Consider the following 17,646-nt stretch of genomic DNA (forward strand, 5'->3'; position numbering starts at 1 on the left):
ATAATTTATAAGGCTGCTAAAAACAATAAAAGATATTACTATAATTACCATTCTCAAGCAGATCACTGAAAAGGAATGGCTTAGAAAAGAATAAAATACCTGTATTTATGTATAGAGTGGTTTGGAAAAATATTAAAATAGTAACATAATGACTAAGTAGTTATGCACAACTTCACTGTTCTTACTAAACTTGCTAAGTATTCATGAACCAAATGACATATATGAAATGTCAGTTATGGGCCAAGCACTATGCAAAATGCTGGGCACACAAAAATGAGTAGGAAACTCTATGAGCTCATGGTACACACCATACTACTGATCATTCTACCCATGTAATTATAAAGTAGTATTTCATTTATGCTATAAAGGGTTTAATCAGGTCCTGTGAACCCTCTAGTCCAACAAAAATAATGTTACGTGTAATTACAAATAAACAGTATAATAGAAATAAACCTATATTTTTTAGGTCTCAGTATGAAATACTCTACAAACACATTTCATCTCTACACCAAGATGTTCAAGTGGTAGTTGGATCACTACCAAGAGAATATCACAATGTCTTATGGTTTGTTGCTGTACAAAACAAATGTAATTTAAAAAGCTGAATCCAAATTCAAAAAAGTTAAAACTCTAAATTACCATGTTAAAACCAGTGATCGAGTAAATAGAAAAACTTTTGAGTTCTTGCATGTTCGCAATAAGGAATCAGAAACACATGATTCTTAAAGGAAATGGTGGTTAATAAATGGATTAGCCAATACTTCTTTAGAAGAATATTTGCCTTTTGGTTACGTAAAGATTCCCAACGCAAGGTAGGGCAATTTAAATTTTAAAAATCAGAAGTAGAAACTTTGGATAGAGATTCTAAAAAGCTATTAACCAAATGATTATCTACGATTTTTAGAATCATTTAATATGCATCAGTAAAGTAAATGTGCTTATACAAAATGCCAGGTAGCTAACTCTTATTATAACATCTACTTCTCAGTGTTATTTGTTACACTGTTACTTATATTAGATAGTTATACACTAGTTAAACTCTACTGAGCAACATGAACCACAAGCTGAATTTTAAATGTTCTGCTTACTTTACACCATTCTGAGCCACAGATGACAAAGTCTGTACAAAGCTGTAATTACTCTGCAAACCTGAAACCCAATTAGAGAGACTGCAACATGTCAGACCAAGAAATACATACACCAAAAAAAAAATTTTTAGAGATCATCTGTTTAGATTAAAATGTTTAAAGGTTTAATTTCAACCAACCTCTTTAGCCATTTAAACACTAATTTTATTCTTTCTAAAATAACATCCAATGTGAAAAACGAAGGCATAATAATAGATTCCTTTTTTTTTTTTTTTTTTGAGACGGAGTCTCGCTCTGTTGCCCAGGCTGGAGTGCAGTGGCGCAATCTCGGCTCATGCAAGCTCCACCTCCCGGGTTCATGCCATTCTCCTGCCTCAGCCTCCTGAGTAGCTGGGACTACAGGTGGCCACCACCACATCCAGCTAATTTTTTTGTATTTTTAGTAGAGACGGGGTTTCACTGTGTTAGCCAGGATGGTCTCTCGATTTCCTGACCTCATGATCCGCCCACCTCGGCCTCCCAAAGCGCTGGGATTACAGGCGTGAGCCACTGCATCCGGCCAGATTCCATTTTTTATTAAATCACATAATGAAATAATGCTGGCTGTGAGTTATGATGACCATAAACCAAATTTATTTTTCAGGTCTTAAAAATATGATACACCATGGAGGTTCTCTGAAGGGGACAAAAAGCATTTCTATCTTTTGTTTAATGTTTTCACTAGGGGCAAAAAAGCATAACACCTATTTAAGACTCAATACATCAACCTTTAAGAGATTCATTTAATCCAATGAGCGGAAGGTGACTTAGGTGAGGCAGGTGTCCTGGTAGAGAGCATTCCAGCAGCAGATAACTGTTGAGTGATCACTACGTTCCAAGCACTGCACAAAGAGTGGTGCATAAATGTTATTCATTTAATCCAAAGGAAAAACCTAAAAGGTGTTATTATCTTCCATTTTCTAAATGAGCAAATTTACAAGACTCAGGCAAGCTAAATAACTTGCCCCAAAACACACAACTGTGAGTCATTATATAAGGATTTATTCCAAGTCTATCTCAATCCCAATCCCATGCTCTTCTGAAGAGAATACACTGCTAGGAAAAATGCCTTAAAAATCAGTAATCATCTGTCAAAGCCATAGGAATGTCTGTTCCCTCTTCTATACCTTCTCTACACCTTCCCCGTGCTTGGCCCTTCTCCCATCTATGACACTTTTTCTCATATAAGCAAATCCAGGATAAGTTTCAACTGATAACAGTGTTTGAGCGGGAGAGGGCTCCAATGTGTTTGCCTCTGGTTCTCTCCACAGTATAGGGATGGACAGGAATGAGGGTTATCCCCTAGCAGGATGCTGATCCTTGACATCTCGTTTCTCCAGGTAGGAGTAACGGGAGGCGGTTTAGAATGAGAAGCTGAAGGGAAAGAAAGTGGTAAGGATAGCAGAAAGGAAGGCAAGAGAGCCTTTGGGTTCTTTCACTGCTGGCTCTCACATTCTCCAATACCAATGAAGTTAATGATTAAAAAAAGTTCAATTACTAATAATGGAAAAGTGATCTGCAGACTCACATCAATCCAGCTCCGCATTGCTAGTTATTTTTGTCTGAACCATTTGCGTTTTATCACCCAAACTCAACATATCTCTCTCCACATAAGCAAATAGGAGAGAAGACAAAGTTCTTACATTTGATTCCATAATACAAGGGGTTCAATAAATAATGGGAGTCAGACTGGATTACTAACATTACATTTCCCTCTAGAAGATGTTTTTCACTTCATCATCCACATTCCAAATTGTGACATTTTAATTATCATAAACCACCACTTTGGAATTAACATGAAATACTATTTATGAACTTGAGTTGAATTTGAAGTCACGATATGTTAATGTGAACTTCTCCTAACACATTTTTCTTCTTTGAATATGGTCACTACAGATACTACCATTTACCAAAAGCACACTTACAGAGCCAATATTTTCCCCATCAACATTTCTCTGTCTTGTTTGCCCACCGAATCCTGCCTCTAATTAAACAAACATACACCTCAAGAGTCTTCTGGAACAACTGTTCTTGGCATACTTTCTGCCTACTTGAAATTCCAAATAAACGTACTGTGGTCATTTTGAGACAATAGTTAAAATATAAAAATGACATAAGGCATTTACTAAAAGAATTATAAGAGGCATGCAAACATCTAGTGGACTCAAGGAATTAGGCATGTTGGTTTTTTGGCTTTGATTTTGGTTTTTGCAGTATAATAGCCATGGGCTTTTTAAAAATGTAGTAAAATATACATAACATGAAATGTACCATTTTAACCATTTTAAGTATACAGTTTGGTGACATTACTGAATTCAAATTGTTGTGTGGGCAAGATGGTTTTCAAACATATTTCTTGATTTACTTTCACTGTATAAATCATCCATGCTTAATACAGAAAAATACATACATAAGTATAGGCAAAATAAAAATACTCATAATCCTACCATTCAGTTATAACCATTATTAGTGTTTGAATACATACATTTTTAGACCTATTCTAAGCACTTTTTAGAAACAAAAATGAGACCATTATTGATGATATTATATGTTTTGGATATTTTCCATTTCAGTAAATAAAGATCTACATCATTATATTTAATAGTGGCATAAAACTCCATTGTACTCATACACCAGAATAAGCAGTTTATTTATAGTCATAATGCATGAAACAGAAGTAAATTACTCAGATGTACACAGGATATTTAACCATTCATTACATAACATGGTAAAATCTGAAAAATAATTATGAGATTTTTTTTTTTTTTTTTTTTTTAGACAGAGTCTTGCTCTTTCACCAGGCTGGAGTGCAGTGGCGCGATCTCGGCTCACTGCAACCTCCGCCTCCCGGGTTTCAAGCAATTCTCCTGCCTCAGCCTCCGGAGTAGCGAGGACTACAGGCGTGCGCCACTAGGCCCAGCTAAGTTTTGTATTTTTAGTAGGGATGGGGTTTCATCATGTTGGTCAGGATGGTCTCGGTCTCTTGACCTCGTGATCCACCCACCTCAGCCTACCAAAGTGCTGGGATTACAGGCGTGAGCCACTGTGCCCGGTCTATTTTTAAGAAAAGCTATTTATATTTGAAACATGATGAAACTGGGATTTGATAACAAAATTTTTAAACAATTCAACAAGAATGTACATTAGATTGAAAATTCCCTTAGGGGAAGGTCCATACTATTTGATTTCTGGTACTATGCCTAAACAGGGCTGGTCTCAAATAAATAAACAGAATGACTAACATACTGCCCCAATTTATCTGTGCCTTGGCTAATTGAAATCATGTTAAAAAATACCTAAAAGATAATCTACCCCTAATAAAATAATTAATTCAGGCAAAAATCACCAATGGTAAAATCATTTGGTAAATAACTAATTAAGACTAAATATTGCATAGTGCCAACATGTCAAACCACAGATTATCTGGTAACCACATGAGAGAAACTTAGTTTATAATGAAGAGATGACACTGTCACCACCGTAACCCAGTGAACAATGATAGCATTACTAAGAGCTGGTCAACCAAATACTAGGTACCTCTTGACATAACGCAATATGAAGTACACAGACTCACGAAGGAAACAATCTTGATAAAAATTCTGAATATGAATCTGATGGAATCCTTAGATCTAACTTCCTTTTACAGTAAATACAGAGGTAGAGGAAAAGTTAAATGACACCTCGTAGAAACGATCAGAGAATTCCATAAGACAGAACTTTCACAGGACAAATGAAGTAGTCTCTTTAATAAGTGAATGTACCCAAAAGAGGGGTGAGGAAGGTAGTCTAATACTCTGCTGGACTAGTAGGGACTTAAAAGATTTATAAAAACCAAATGCAATGCGTGGTCCTCCTTAATGCATTCTGGTCTAAACAAACCAGTTTTAGGCAACAAGTGGGAAATCTGAATATGAATTTGTACTTGGTAATACTAAAGATTAGTTTTATTAGATGTGATTGTGATACAGCTTTTAAAAAAATTTTCAATTCATGAAGTAGATGTGCAGGTTTGTTACATGGGTGTATTGTATAAAGCTGAGATATGGGCTTCTAGTGAACTCATCACCCAAATAATGAACATAGTACTCAATAGGTAGTTTTCTGGTCCTTGTCCCACCCTTCTCCTTTTTGGAGTCCGCAGTGTCTATTATTTCCATCTTTATGTCCATATGTACCAATTGCATAGGTCCCACTTAGAAGTAACTTACAACTTAAATGCCTCGAGATTTCCATCTGTACCAATGAGACAATTTCTACTCACGTATCTTCAAAGTAGCTTATCAGTGCATACATACCACAGTGAAATAAACAATAAACATATACAAAGACCAAGATGCAGATTCAAAGTCACTTTTTTTTTGAGATGGAGCCTTGCTTTGTCATCCATGATGGAGTGCAGTGGCACAATCTCGGCTCACTGCAACCTCTGCCTCCTGGGCTCACGCCATTCTCCTGCCTCAGCCTCCTGAGTAACTGGGATTACAGGCGCATACTACCACGCCCAGCTAATTTTTTGTATTTTTAGTAGAGACGGGGTTTCACCATGTTAGCCAGGCTGGTCTCAAACTCCTGACCTCAGGTGATCAGCCCGCCTCCACTTCCCAAAGTGCTAGGATTACAGGCGTGAGCCACTACATCCAGCCTCAAAGTCACTCTTTAAAGCACTTGTATTAAATGCTGCTCCTCTTCCCGCTAACTGCCCCATTCCTCTCCTTCGTTTTGCTGGTAAATCACTCAAAATAATCTACAAGGCTGGCCTTTGTTACCCATGCCTTAACCAATTAGCTAAATTCTGGTTTCCACCACTCTACTGCAGTCTCCTTTTTATCAGATATATTTTCCTTGTTCTCATTTTCATTTCTTTGCAGCATTTGATGTTCTTGGCTCCCTATCCTTTGAGTCCCTTTTCCTTGACCTCCATGACACTGACTTGCCTGGTTTTACTACCATCCCATACCATTCATTAGTTTTTCTTAGGGCCTCTACTTCCAAAGTAGAGGCTCAGACCTTTACCTTCCAAAGGCTCAGACCTTTCTGTTATGCTTTTATTTTTGACATTTTTTCCCATAGTAAATCTAGACATTAATTACACAATATTTGTTAGGTACCCACAGTATATCAGCCAGTAACCTAGGCACTGAATAGCAGTGAACAAAACAAGGTGCCTATTTTCCATAAAGCTTATATTTTACTGAGGGGATGAGTAGTCAAACAATAAACAAGCAAAACAATTAATTTATAACATAGTAGGTGCTTATAAACAATATGAAGAAAAATAAGGCAGGTCAACGAGTTGAAGTGAACGGGAGGTGATACTATTTTCGAAAGATTAATTTAAAAGGGTGTCTCTAATGAAATGAGAGGCCAATGCAGATTACCTTCGGGAAGAGTAAGTTACACAGAATGAACATTAAGTGCAGACTCACAGCTGGAGGGATTCCACAGATGGATTTGTGAAACAGCAAGAAGCCCAGTGTAATTGGAGTCAAGTAAGTTAGGAAAAAAGGTAGGAGATGAGGTTAGAAAGATCTTCAATGAGTTGGTAAGGACTTTGGATTTAATTATAGATAGGCTCCCCAGTAGCTCTGCATCGACTGACACCTGATGTCTGATGACTCTCAAACCTGCTTCTTCAGTCACGGCCCTTCTCATCAAGCTCCATCCCCATATGGCAAAACTAGCATCTCCTTTGATGCCCTATACTGCCTCATCCTCAAGATATCCAAAAGGGTTTTGTTTTTGTTTGTTTCAGCTTCCAAGTTGAAAATTACTATACCAGTACAGTTTTTCTATTTTATTTCCATATCATCTTCCTAATCACCCAAGAAACACTTCCTCAGTCATCTCTGGCTCGTCCTTCTCTTTCAGCCCTCATGGCTAAGCCACCAACATTCATGTTAACAGTTTGTTCGTTATGACTCTTGGAATCATCCTTTTTTTGTCCACTGCTGACACCCAACCCGGGAACTTACTATCAAAATCCTCATCACTGAAATGACCTCTTAGGTGGTCTCCCTTTTCTACCCTTCTCCCTAAGTTGTCCTACATACTACTAGTAAGATGAGTCCTACCCAAATTCTTAAACTGTATGTCATTCTCTTCAAAAATATTTTCCTGTCTGCAGGACAATGTTCAAATACATTTCTTAGCCTGACTTTCAAAGCTATTCATAAGGAAGCCCCATTAATTAAAACAAAAAGTTTCAAACTGTATTCCTCACTGCCAAACTATAAGTACTTTCTGCTAATAAACATGTCTCTTCACTGTCCCCTAAAAATTATCTGATTATTATTAACTTCAGGATTTAACAACTCATGCTGTTTCTCTCACCTGACACATACTCCCTTCCTTTTTACTTAGATTCTAGTCACTCAAGATCTTCTCTTATTCCAACTCATACTCTCTATCCCTGAAGATCTACTACACTTATTTGTATCCCATATGGTGGTACTTCATCATATGCTGTGATTTATTTGACTGTTTTGAGTGGAACTCCTTAAGTTTCAGGGAATTTGGAATACTTCTCATAGTTCTTTTCTATTCATCAAAATCTAAGCACATACAGACTGAATTCTAGGAAAAGCTTCAGGAAACATTTCAGAAACAATATAATTTCTCACAACTTATTTTTTTCTCATAAAATGTATATTTATATATTTCATATATATGAAAAAATATATTTTTCAAAAAACATACTTTTCAAAAAATAGATATTTTTGAATCCTAATCATATTTTTGATTTTGGAGCAACAGCTCTAATACTTGAGATATTTTTTTTTCCACAGGAAAAGGTGAAAGGAGTAGATGTAAAGAATAAAGGATTTTTCCCCCTTGGAGAAAAATAAAAAGGTAGGTCTACTTATCCAGAGTAAAGCACTGTCCAAATAAACAATGAATTGTGGAGGATTATAAACAAATCAAGTAATTCCATTAAAATCAACTATAGAGGGTAGGTGCGGTGGCTCATGCCTGTAATCCCAGCACTTTGGGAGACTGAGGCGGGTGGATTACCTGAGGTCAGGAGTTCGAGACCAGCCTGGACAACATGGAGAAACCCCATCTCTACTAAAAATACAAAAAATTAGCTGGGCGTGGTGGCGGGTGCCTGTAATCCCATCTGCTTGGGAGGCTGAGGCAGGAGAATTGCTTGAATCTGGGAGGCGGAGGTTGCAGTGAGCCGAGATCGCGCCATTCCACTCCAGCCTGGGCAACAGAGCAAGACTCTTGTCTCAAACAAACAAAAAAAGTCAAATATAGAGATAGCCTATCAGTCATTATCAGAATACCACCTCTTTGGAAAGCACTCTCTAACTTCTTTAAACTTTAAGGGGAAGGTATAGATGTGTTTTCTTTGCCTTCAGGAATTCTAACTCCAAATAAGTTAGCCTGGCTTTGAAAGATGGTTCCAACCACAGACATAAAAAGGCCTCTTGGGTATTTACTACAGCAACAACAACAACAACAAAAACAATAAAAACACTTCATTTTAAAATCTGGTTTGATAGATAGCAAGCTATATGAAGTAAAGTAAAAGAATCAGCTCCTTCACTGATCTCTAGAAGAATGGGGGGAAAATCTCATCTTAAATCTCTGCCAATTTAAATCAGTAGGAAAATTTTGCTTTCTATTATATCTTTCTCCAAAATTTATTTTTTAAATAGTAACTACTAAGTAATTATCTTAGCATATTATCAGTTGATTCACTACATTAAGATTTCACATACATTATTCCTCACTTAATCCTCTCAGCTGAGTTCTAAAGTATGGTCATTTCCAGTTCACAAATTTTTTAAAAAGGAAGCTATTTAATGTCTAAATCACTTATTCAAAATCATCAAGCCATTAATGTGGTAAAACTGAGTCTCAAATCCAGGTTTTCTAGCTCTAAATTCATGTCTCTTTTTGTATCACATACTGTTTTTAGGATGGATGTTGGTTGTTTATGAAAGGAAGTAAAGTTTTCTTTCTTTCTAATAACGTTTATACACAGTCAACTCTTGGAAAATACAGGTCTGAACGGCACAATTCCACTTATACATGGATTTTTTTCAATAATAGTACACCAAATGTGCCTATCTCTCCTGCCTTCTCCTTCCACCCGCTCCACATCTCTTCATCTCTGCCACCCGAGACAGAAAGACTAACGCCTTCTCTTTCTCCTCCTCCTCAGCCTACTCAACAAGAAGACAATGAGGATGAAGACCTTTATGATCCACTTCCACTTAATGAATAGCAAATATATTTTCTCTTCCTTATGATTTTCTTAATAACATTTTCTCTTGCTTACATTATAAGAATACAGTATATAGTGCATGTAATACACAAAATATGTATCAATTAACTGTTTATTGGTAAAGCTTCTGGGCAACAGTAGGATATTGGTAGCTAAGTTTGGGGGAGTCAAAAGTTAGAACAAGGATGTTTGACTACACAAGGGTTGAAGCCCCTAAACTTTGCATTGCTCAAGGGTCAACTGTATTTCACTTTCTAGTTTTATGTGAATAAATTGATACAAACAGGTGATAGAGAACTGAAATATGTTTTCTCCCAGAGAAAACTGACCAATCTTTTATTTAGTATTCATGCATTAAAAATAACTGCCATCTTCATTGACATTATATGTAAAAGCACCAACAAGCTCTGATCACATAAGACAAAGTTCTGTAAGTGACAGATAAGTTGTCAAGTAATATTACACTGCTTCAGGACTTCTTTATAGAAGTTATATTTAAATAATGTCTTTCTGTCAGTATCAGATTATTGGAACAAGGCTGAGAACACATTTAAAGTGTTCATTGGCCAAAATGTTAAAAACCTAACATGAATTAACATGTAACTAAAGTTGCCTGGAGTCTAATATCAGAATTTATTCAGGCTTGTCAGTCTAAGCCAACTTTGCTGATTCCTTAGTCATAATAAAATAATCTGTCTATAAAAATAAAGACCCATCAATAGGTAAAGAAGAGAGATGGAACTTCCTAGAGGCATAGAAATATCAAACAATTTATGAGGCAAACAGTAAATCTGTAAATAATACTGTTTAACAAAAATATTTTAACAAAATGTTACACAGGACTAACGTGAAGTTCAAAGGAAACAATGCATATGAAATAGTGCTGTAAAGATTATTACATGTTTATTTTTAATTATCTTATAAGAACACCCTATAGAGACAGAAACTTTATCAGTGTGCTTTTGGAAGCAATAACTGTTGCTGGTTGGATGATTCAGTTATCATGAACTATTCTGGCAGGTTTCAAAAGCAGTGCCATTTTAAAACATTAAAAATGTCTAAAAATGCAACCATAGTAATAGATTCTGAGTGCATGGGTTGGGGGGTGAGGGAGAAAGACAATGACAAATTGGTCCAAAAGGACACTGAGACTTCATAGTTGGAAGACTATTGTGCTGACAATTAGTAACAGAGGAAGCAGAGCACAAAACAAATGAATGAAAAAAGCTGAACTTGCAATGAAAGACCTTATTATAGTTCAGAAACATTATTGTAATAAAGGGGCAATGTACTCTCCTCTATAAAACTTCCAAACAGGCACCCTAGTCTCTTTTCTCTTCCCCTGCATTTCATTTTTTCATTAGCATCTGCTTGATTATGTATTATTTCCAACCCAAAAGAACGCCTCTGTATCTTTCCTAAATTCCAAGGCTTAAAGGTTCTTCCTCCCAATGTGGCCTTAGGCCTCATTTAACTTTACTCAAAGTATAATAAACGCTTTTAAATTAAAATAAAGATATAGGGGTGAAAAAATCAGAAAGCCAATAATTTAGCATGTATCAACTCAGAGGAAGCAACAAAACATGTCCCTCAAGTTCAACTTGTTAAAAATGCAATGATTATATAACTTACTGCAAATATTCAGATGATTCTGCCTCTAAAAAAAATCAGTGTCTCCCCTATGGCTTCTATGACTTAGTTGGAAAAGCAATGCTGAAATCTTCACATACTAGTGAATCATCTACATTAAGCTGCTGTTTCCCTAAATGGAATTATCCAAAAGTTCTCAAATACATCTTCATGTATTAGTCAAGAATGACAAGATCTGATCCATGATACAGACAGACAGACTAGTCTAGAGGCATGGAAAACCCATATCTTCTGAATTGCCCACACTGGAAAACCTCTCACCTCAAGGCCCTACTGTAAGGTAGTCAGAGATCCATTAGTTAAGTAGGAATATGGAAAAAGCACTGGTCTGGAAACTTGAAAGCTGCAGGTTTATCTCCCAGCTCCATCTCTGAAAGAATTCCTTGCCACTGGGAAATTCCATGAACCTAGTTTCTCCAGCTATAAAATAGACTGTTTGTCCTCCAAAGATGTTAGTAACATTAAATATATCTTACTAACACACACATATATGTGTATGTATGTACATATATATATGTATGTAAAATACGAGGCAGAAGGTACTCAACAAGTGGTAATTTATTACTATACTACTCCACAATATACTCAATATTTCAAGAAATAATTATCTGCTGCTGATAGGCAAACCACTGAATTTAGAATTAGAAGAAAGGACTTTAGAGATCCTTCACTCTAACTCCCTCACTCTACAGATGACAAAATTCTGAGTCCCAGTATGGTTAAGCGACTGGCTCAACATTACATAATAAAACTCTATCAAATTTATCAGCCACCCATCTACGACATCTATATTTGTTCCTTTGCTCTAGCAGAAAGAAGTCTCGCTATTATATATAATACAACTCCTGACAACAATGAGAGTCCACTATTAACCCACTGGGTGATACGTGGCATAGCACGAAAGTTCTATGGGTGCTGACGACGTATTACTTGAAGAGAGCTGTCATCTCTGAACACCATATATGATTAAATGCATTCAAACCAGGTGTTAGAGTTCAAATCACAGTTCTGCCACGTACTTGCTTTGAGGTTCTGGGCAAGTTTTTCAGTCTCTCTAGGTCTCAGATTCATTATCTAGTTTTTTTTCCTTTAAGTAATAATATTTATTTCATGTTTTTCATGTGATGACAAAATGCAATTACACAAATAAAACACCTTGTAAAAAGCAGGCTCTTTAAAAATGTTAATTTTCTTCCTTTACTTCCTTAATTGCCCTCCTAATTTCCGATGTATTAATTATAAAATGAGATTAAAACACCAAATATAATGGGCAAACAATCATCTTTCTAATTACAATTTCAAAAACTAGTTACGCACAATCCTCTTTCTAGAAACTATAAATTTAAGTTTAAAATGACACACTAAAAAAAAAATTCAACAAGTAAATCAAATAGTTATCTACATTCAACTTAACCAAAATAATCTATACGTTTAATAAGGTCATAAAAAAATTATACAGTAAATACACTACAGTTGCCTTATCACACGCAGGCTGCAGGTGGTGATCCTCCTACCCCACCCTCCACTTCCCATCCACAATACTCCAACTTCCCTACATACAAGAAGGCAAATTTTTAAAAAATAAATATATAAAGAGATAATGTACCACCTTCCAAGCTACAGTTTATAACCTTTTTAGCTTAAATTTTAAAAACTCTGTAGGTAGGATTTTAAAATGGAGTATTTATTTGTCAGTAAAATTATTTTATATTCTACCAGGAGAAAAGATGAACAGCAATGTTACTACAGAAACTACAAATAAAACACGAGGTAAGCTAACAAACAGGGTAGCTAGTGCCTAACTGTGGCCCTGAGAAAACAATGTCTGACATGATTAGGGCATTCTGCTAAGTATTTCAAACGCCATATTTATTCCTATCATTTATTCTTTTTCCTCATTTGATATTTTTCACTCTATACAGGGATAAGGACATAACATACCATCTGGAGCTTTCATTCATTTCTGAAGATTTCATACCCACTTACTTTGACAAGATGAAAAGAAATTCAGCCAAAGTTTCTCAGAAATAATTTTTCAAATTAATGCTATTCTTGTTACCTGGAAAGTAACTTTATCTTTTGAAATCTTACTATTTCTCCAAACAATCTCAATGTCCAAAGAAGCTTTTCTTGATGATTCTGTCTTTAATGATACCTCTTTTTCCTAAATTGTAACTGCATGTATTAATTGCAAAACTCCCTTCAAAACTTAGCCATAAAACATCTCAAAATACCAATCCCAAGGGTCTGTGGCATATTTTTGCTACTAGACTATAAATTCTTTAAAGCCAAGGGCTAGATCTTGTATCTGTGGAATAAGAAAATGAACACAAAACTCTAGGTTCACTCTGTTAGACATGGGTTCATGCTGTGGGCTCTGCCATTTGCCAAACAGTGGCCTAAGCAAGTCATATAACCACTCTGAGTTCCTTTAAAATGGGGAGCATAATACTTACCTCACAGTGTTGTTGTGAAGATAAAATGAGAAAACATATGTGAAAGGGCTTGATACATAGTAACGCTCAAAGAAAGGTTGGTTTCCTTATTTCCTTCTTTTTTCCCCTCAGTACCTGGTACAATGTTGAGAACATAATAACCCTCAATAAAAACTTCCTAAATATTCATTACAATTTAGACTTCCTAAAAAATATATTTAAATATTAATTTTGATGACTCCTATGTTTCCAAATTGTGTTACTTTAAGTCAAACACATACACACAAGGTAGAAAACTTCAAAACACAGTAGGTGCAAATGGTTGTTATTTGAGATGGCTAGAAAAGAAAATCAAGGAAGGAGTCCTAAGTATTTAAAAATAATTGAGTGATACTAATTATATGTAGGGTATTCCCTTACTTAAGCACCTATCAACAAGTAATAGTTGATTGCTGACCTTCGAAAAAGTTGAGTGAGACAGAAAGGGGGGAAGGCAGATACAGAGGAAAGGAAAGAGGGAAAAAGAAAGGAATAAAGGAAGGTGGTCATGCTGGAATCTCTTCTATGTCCTCAGTATAAACTATTGAAGCTGATAACTACTTGCCTGCCTTCCTTTAAAAACAATCCCCATTGCATCCTCCACCTCTCAATAAAGCAGTAATCTAGGAAGCAAAGTACCTTTAATTTTTCCTCCAATGGATAGGATCCTCTTCAACCAGTCAGAAAAATACTGAAGGATTTTATTACTTTAAGAAAAAACAACTTCTGACTAAAAAGGGAATAACAACAGTCACACAGGTCTTTCTCAGCCTGCAGCAGCTTTGTCTTCCAAAGCCCAGGGTTTGAAGAATTTGGTCTATACCCCGTTCCCCTTGCCCTCACCCAAACTCTTGTCTCTGATCCAATGGTGTTAGATCTTATTTATTTTTTTTTTAGCAATCAATATATGTTAATTGAATACTTTTTTTTGTATAAATGTTTTTTACTTTTTTTTATTATACTTTTAAGTTCTGGGGTACATGTGCAGAACGTGCAGGTTTGTTACATAGGTATACACGTGCCATGGTGGTTTGCTGCACCCATCAACCTGTCATCTACATTAGGTATTTCTCCTAATGCTATCCCTCCCCTAGCCCCCAATCTCTCAACATGCCCCGGTGTGTGATGTTCCCCTCCCTGTGTCCCTGTGTTCTCACTGTTCAACTCCCACTTATGAATGAGAACATGCGGTGTTTGGTTATCTGTTCCTGTGAGAGTTTGCTCAGAATGATGGTTTCCAGATTCATCCATGTCCCTGCAAAGGACATGAACTCATCCTTTCTTATGGCTGCATAGTATTCCATGGTATGTATGTGCCACATTTTCTTCATCCAGTCTATCACTGATGGTCATTTGGGTTGGTTCCAAGTCTTTGCTATTGTGAATAGGGCTGCAATAAACATACGTGTGCATGTGTCTTTATAGCAAAATGATTTATAATCCTTTGGGTGTATACCCAGTAATGGAATTGCTGGGTCAAATGGTATTTCTAGTTCTAGATCCTTGAGGAATCGCCACACTGTCTTCCACAACGGTTGAACTAATTTACACTCCCACCAATAGTGTAAAAGCATTCCTATTTCTCCACATCCTCTTCAGCATCTGTTGTTTCCTGACTTTTTAATGATCACCATTCTAACTGGCGTGGGATGGTATCTCATTGTGTTTTGATTTGCATTTCTCTAATGACCAGTGATGATGAGCTTTTTTTCATATGTTGGTTGGCCACATAAATGTCTTCTTTTGCATAGTGTTTGTTCATATCCTTTGCCCACTTTTTGATGGGGTACTTTTTTCCTGTAGATTTGTTTAAGTTCCTTGTAGATTCTGGATATTAGCCCTTTGACAGGTGGATAGATTGCGAAAATTTTCTCCCATTCTGTAGGCTGCCTGTTCACTCTAATGATAGTTTCTTTTGCTGTGCAGAATCTCTTTAGTTTAATTAAATCCCGTTTGTCAATTTTGGCTTTTGTTGCCATTGCTTTTGGTGTTTTAGACATGAAGTCTTTGCCCATACCTATGTCCTGAATATTATTGCCTAGGTTTTCTTCCAGGGTTTTTATGGTTTTACAGTTTTAGGGTTTTTATGGTTTTTGGTCTCACATTTAAGTCTTTAATCCATCTTGAGTTAATTTGTGCATAAAGTGTAAGGAAGGGGTCCAGTTTCAGTTTTCTGCATATGGCTAGCCAGTTTTCCCAACACCATTTATTAAATAAGAGAATCCTTTCCCCATTGCTTGTTTTTGTCAGGTTTGTCAAAGATCAGATGACTGTAGATGTGTGGTGTTATTTCTGAGGCCTCTGTTGTGTTCCATTGGTCTACATGTCTGTTTTGGTACCAGTAGCACGCTGTTTTTGTTACTGTAGCCTTGTAGTATAGTATGAAGTCAGGTAGCGTGATGCCTCCAGCTTTGTTCTTTTGGCTTAGGATTGTTTTGGCTATATGGGCTCTTTCTTGGCATTCCCTTTGAAAACCAGCACAAGACAAGGATGCCCTCTCTCACCACTCCTATTCAACATAGTATTGGAAGTTCTGGCTAGGGAAATCAGGCAAGATAAAGAAATAAAGGGGATTCAAATAGGAAGAGAGGAAGTCAAATTATCTCTGTTTGCAGATGCCATGATTGTATATTTAGAAAACCCCTTCTTCTCAGCCCCAATCTCCTTAAGCTGATAAGCAACTTCAGTAAAGTCTCAGGATACAAAATCAATGTGCAAAAATCACAAGCATTCCTATACAACAATAACAGACAAACAGAGAGCCAAATCATGAGTGAACTCCTATTCACAATTGCTACAAAGAGAACAAAATACCTAGGAATACAACTTACAAGGGATGTGAAGGACCTCTTCACGGAAGGCTACAAACCACTGCTCAAGGAAATAAGAGAGGACACAAACAAATGGAAAAACATTCCATGCTCATGGATAGAAAGGATCAATATCGTGAAAATGGCCATACTGCCCAAAGTAATTTATAGGTTCAATGCTATCCCCATCAAGCTACCATTGACTTTCTTCACAGAATTAGGTGTTACTTCTTTAGCCATAGTGATGTCTTCTTTTTTGGCCAGAAGGAGGCCATAAGCAGGGTTTGGGAATGTACCTCACTCTGTTTAGTCATTAAGAAAGAATAGCCCTGACTAATCAAAGTCCTAGGCATGAAATGAAACTAGAAATTTTCCTCCAACCAAACAATAGTATTTGGCCTCAACTGCAACAGACTGTTGTAAGCAAGTTCTCTAAAACCTTTAAGACTCTTTAAAGAAAGCTCAGTAAAGTGGTTTCCTCCTCACTCCAATGTAATTTAGCTAAAGGAGGAATGATTGCCAGTTAATTCAGCAAACATTACTAAGTACCTTCTATCTTACGTTAATACTATTTGGATAGCATTTTACAACATACAAATTGTTTTCATATATATATATATATATATATTTTTTTTTTTTTTTTTTTTTTTTTTTTTTTTTTGAGACAAAGTCTTGCTCTGTCGCCAAGGCTTGAGTACAGTGGCATGGTCTTGGCTCACTGCAACTTCCACCTCCCGGGTTCAAGCAATTCTCCTGCTTCAGCCCAGTAGCTGGGACTATAGGTGTGCCCCACCAAGCCCAGCTAATCTTTGTATTTTTAGTAGAGATGGGGGTTTCATCATGTTGGCCAGGCTGCTCTCAAATTCCTGACCTCAAGTGATCCACCCACCTCAGCCTCCCAAAGTTCTGGGATTACAGGCGTGAGCCACACCACTCGGCTATATGATCTCACTTGATCCTCACTGTAAGCCTGTGAAGAAGGTATCATTAGCTCCATTGTTCAAAGATGAGCAAAATGAAAATCAGAGAAGTTATGTGATTTGCCCAAGATCACATAGCTAGTAAAGCAGTAGAACCTAGTCCCAAAGTCAGGTCTTCTGACTACAAGTCCAATGATGTTCCAGTATACCAGATATTGTAATAAATGCTGTGGGACATTTTTAAAATGAGTATGCATGGTCACTGTCTTCTACAAGTTTACCATTCCCTTTGATTCTAAATAAGCCCCCCCATTCCTTATATTCTGATAAAAGAGGCTCAGAAAGTAAAGACTGTAACTAAAATGATTGGCTTGGGAATACAAATCAGGAAAAGGCTGGGAGATCGTGGAAGCTACTAAAGAAGAGGAAGCA

General features: G+C 36.5%; 1 protein-coding gene across 12 annotated transcripts in view; it reads right to left on the reverse strand.

The window, feature by feature from the left end:
* Positions 1–17,646, reverse strand: part of AKT3 (AKT serine/threonine kinase 3) — a 362,847-nt gene that overhangs the window by 181,498 nt on the left and 163,703 nt on the right. Inside the window, exon 6 of one of the 12 annotated variants that reach the window (XM_047424332.1) lies at positions 13,467–13,580. The exons of the other annotated variants lie outside the window; for them this stretch is intronic. The gene's annotated coding sequence lies outside the window, so the exon portion shown is untranslated. The remainder of the gene's footprint in view (positions 1–13,466; positions 13,581–17,646) is intronic. 12 annotated transcript variants of the gene reach the window in all.

The sequence above is a fragment of the Homo sapiens genome, chromosome 1 (assembly GCF_000001405.40).
Source record: "Homo sapiens chromosome 1, GRCh38.p14 Primary Assembly".
NCBI lineage: Eukaryota > Metazoa > Chordata > Mammalia > Primates > Hominidae > Homo > Homo sapiens.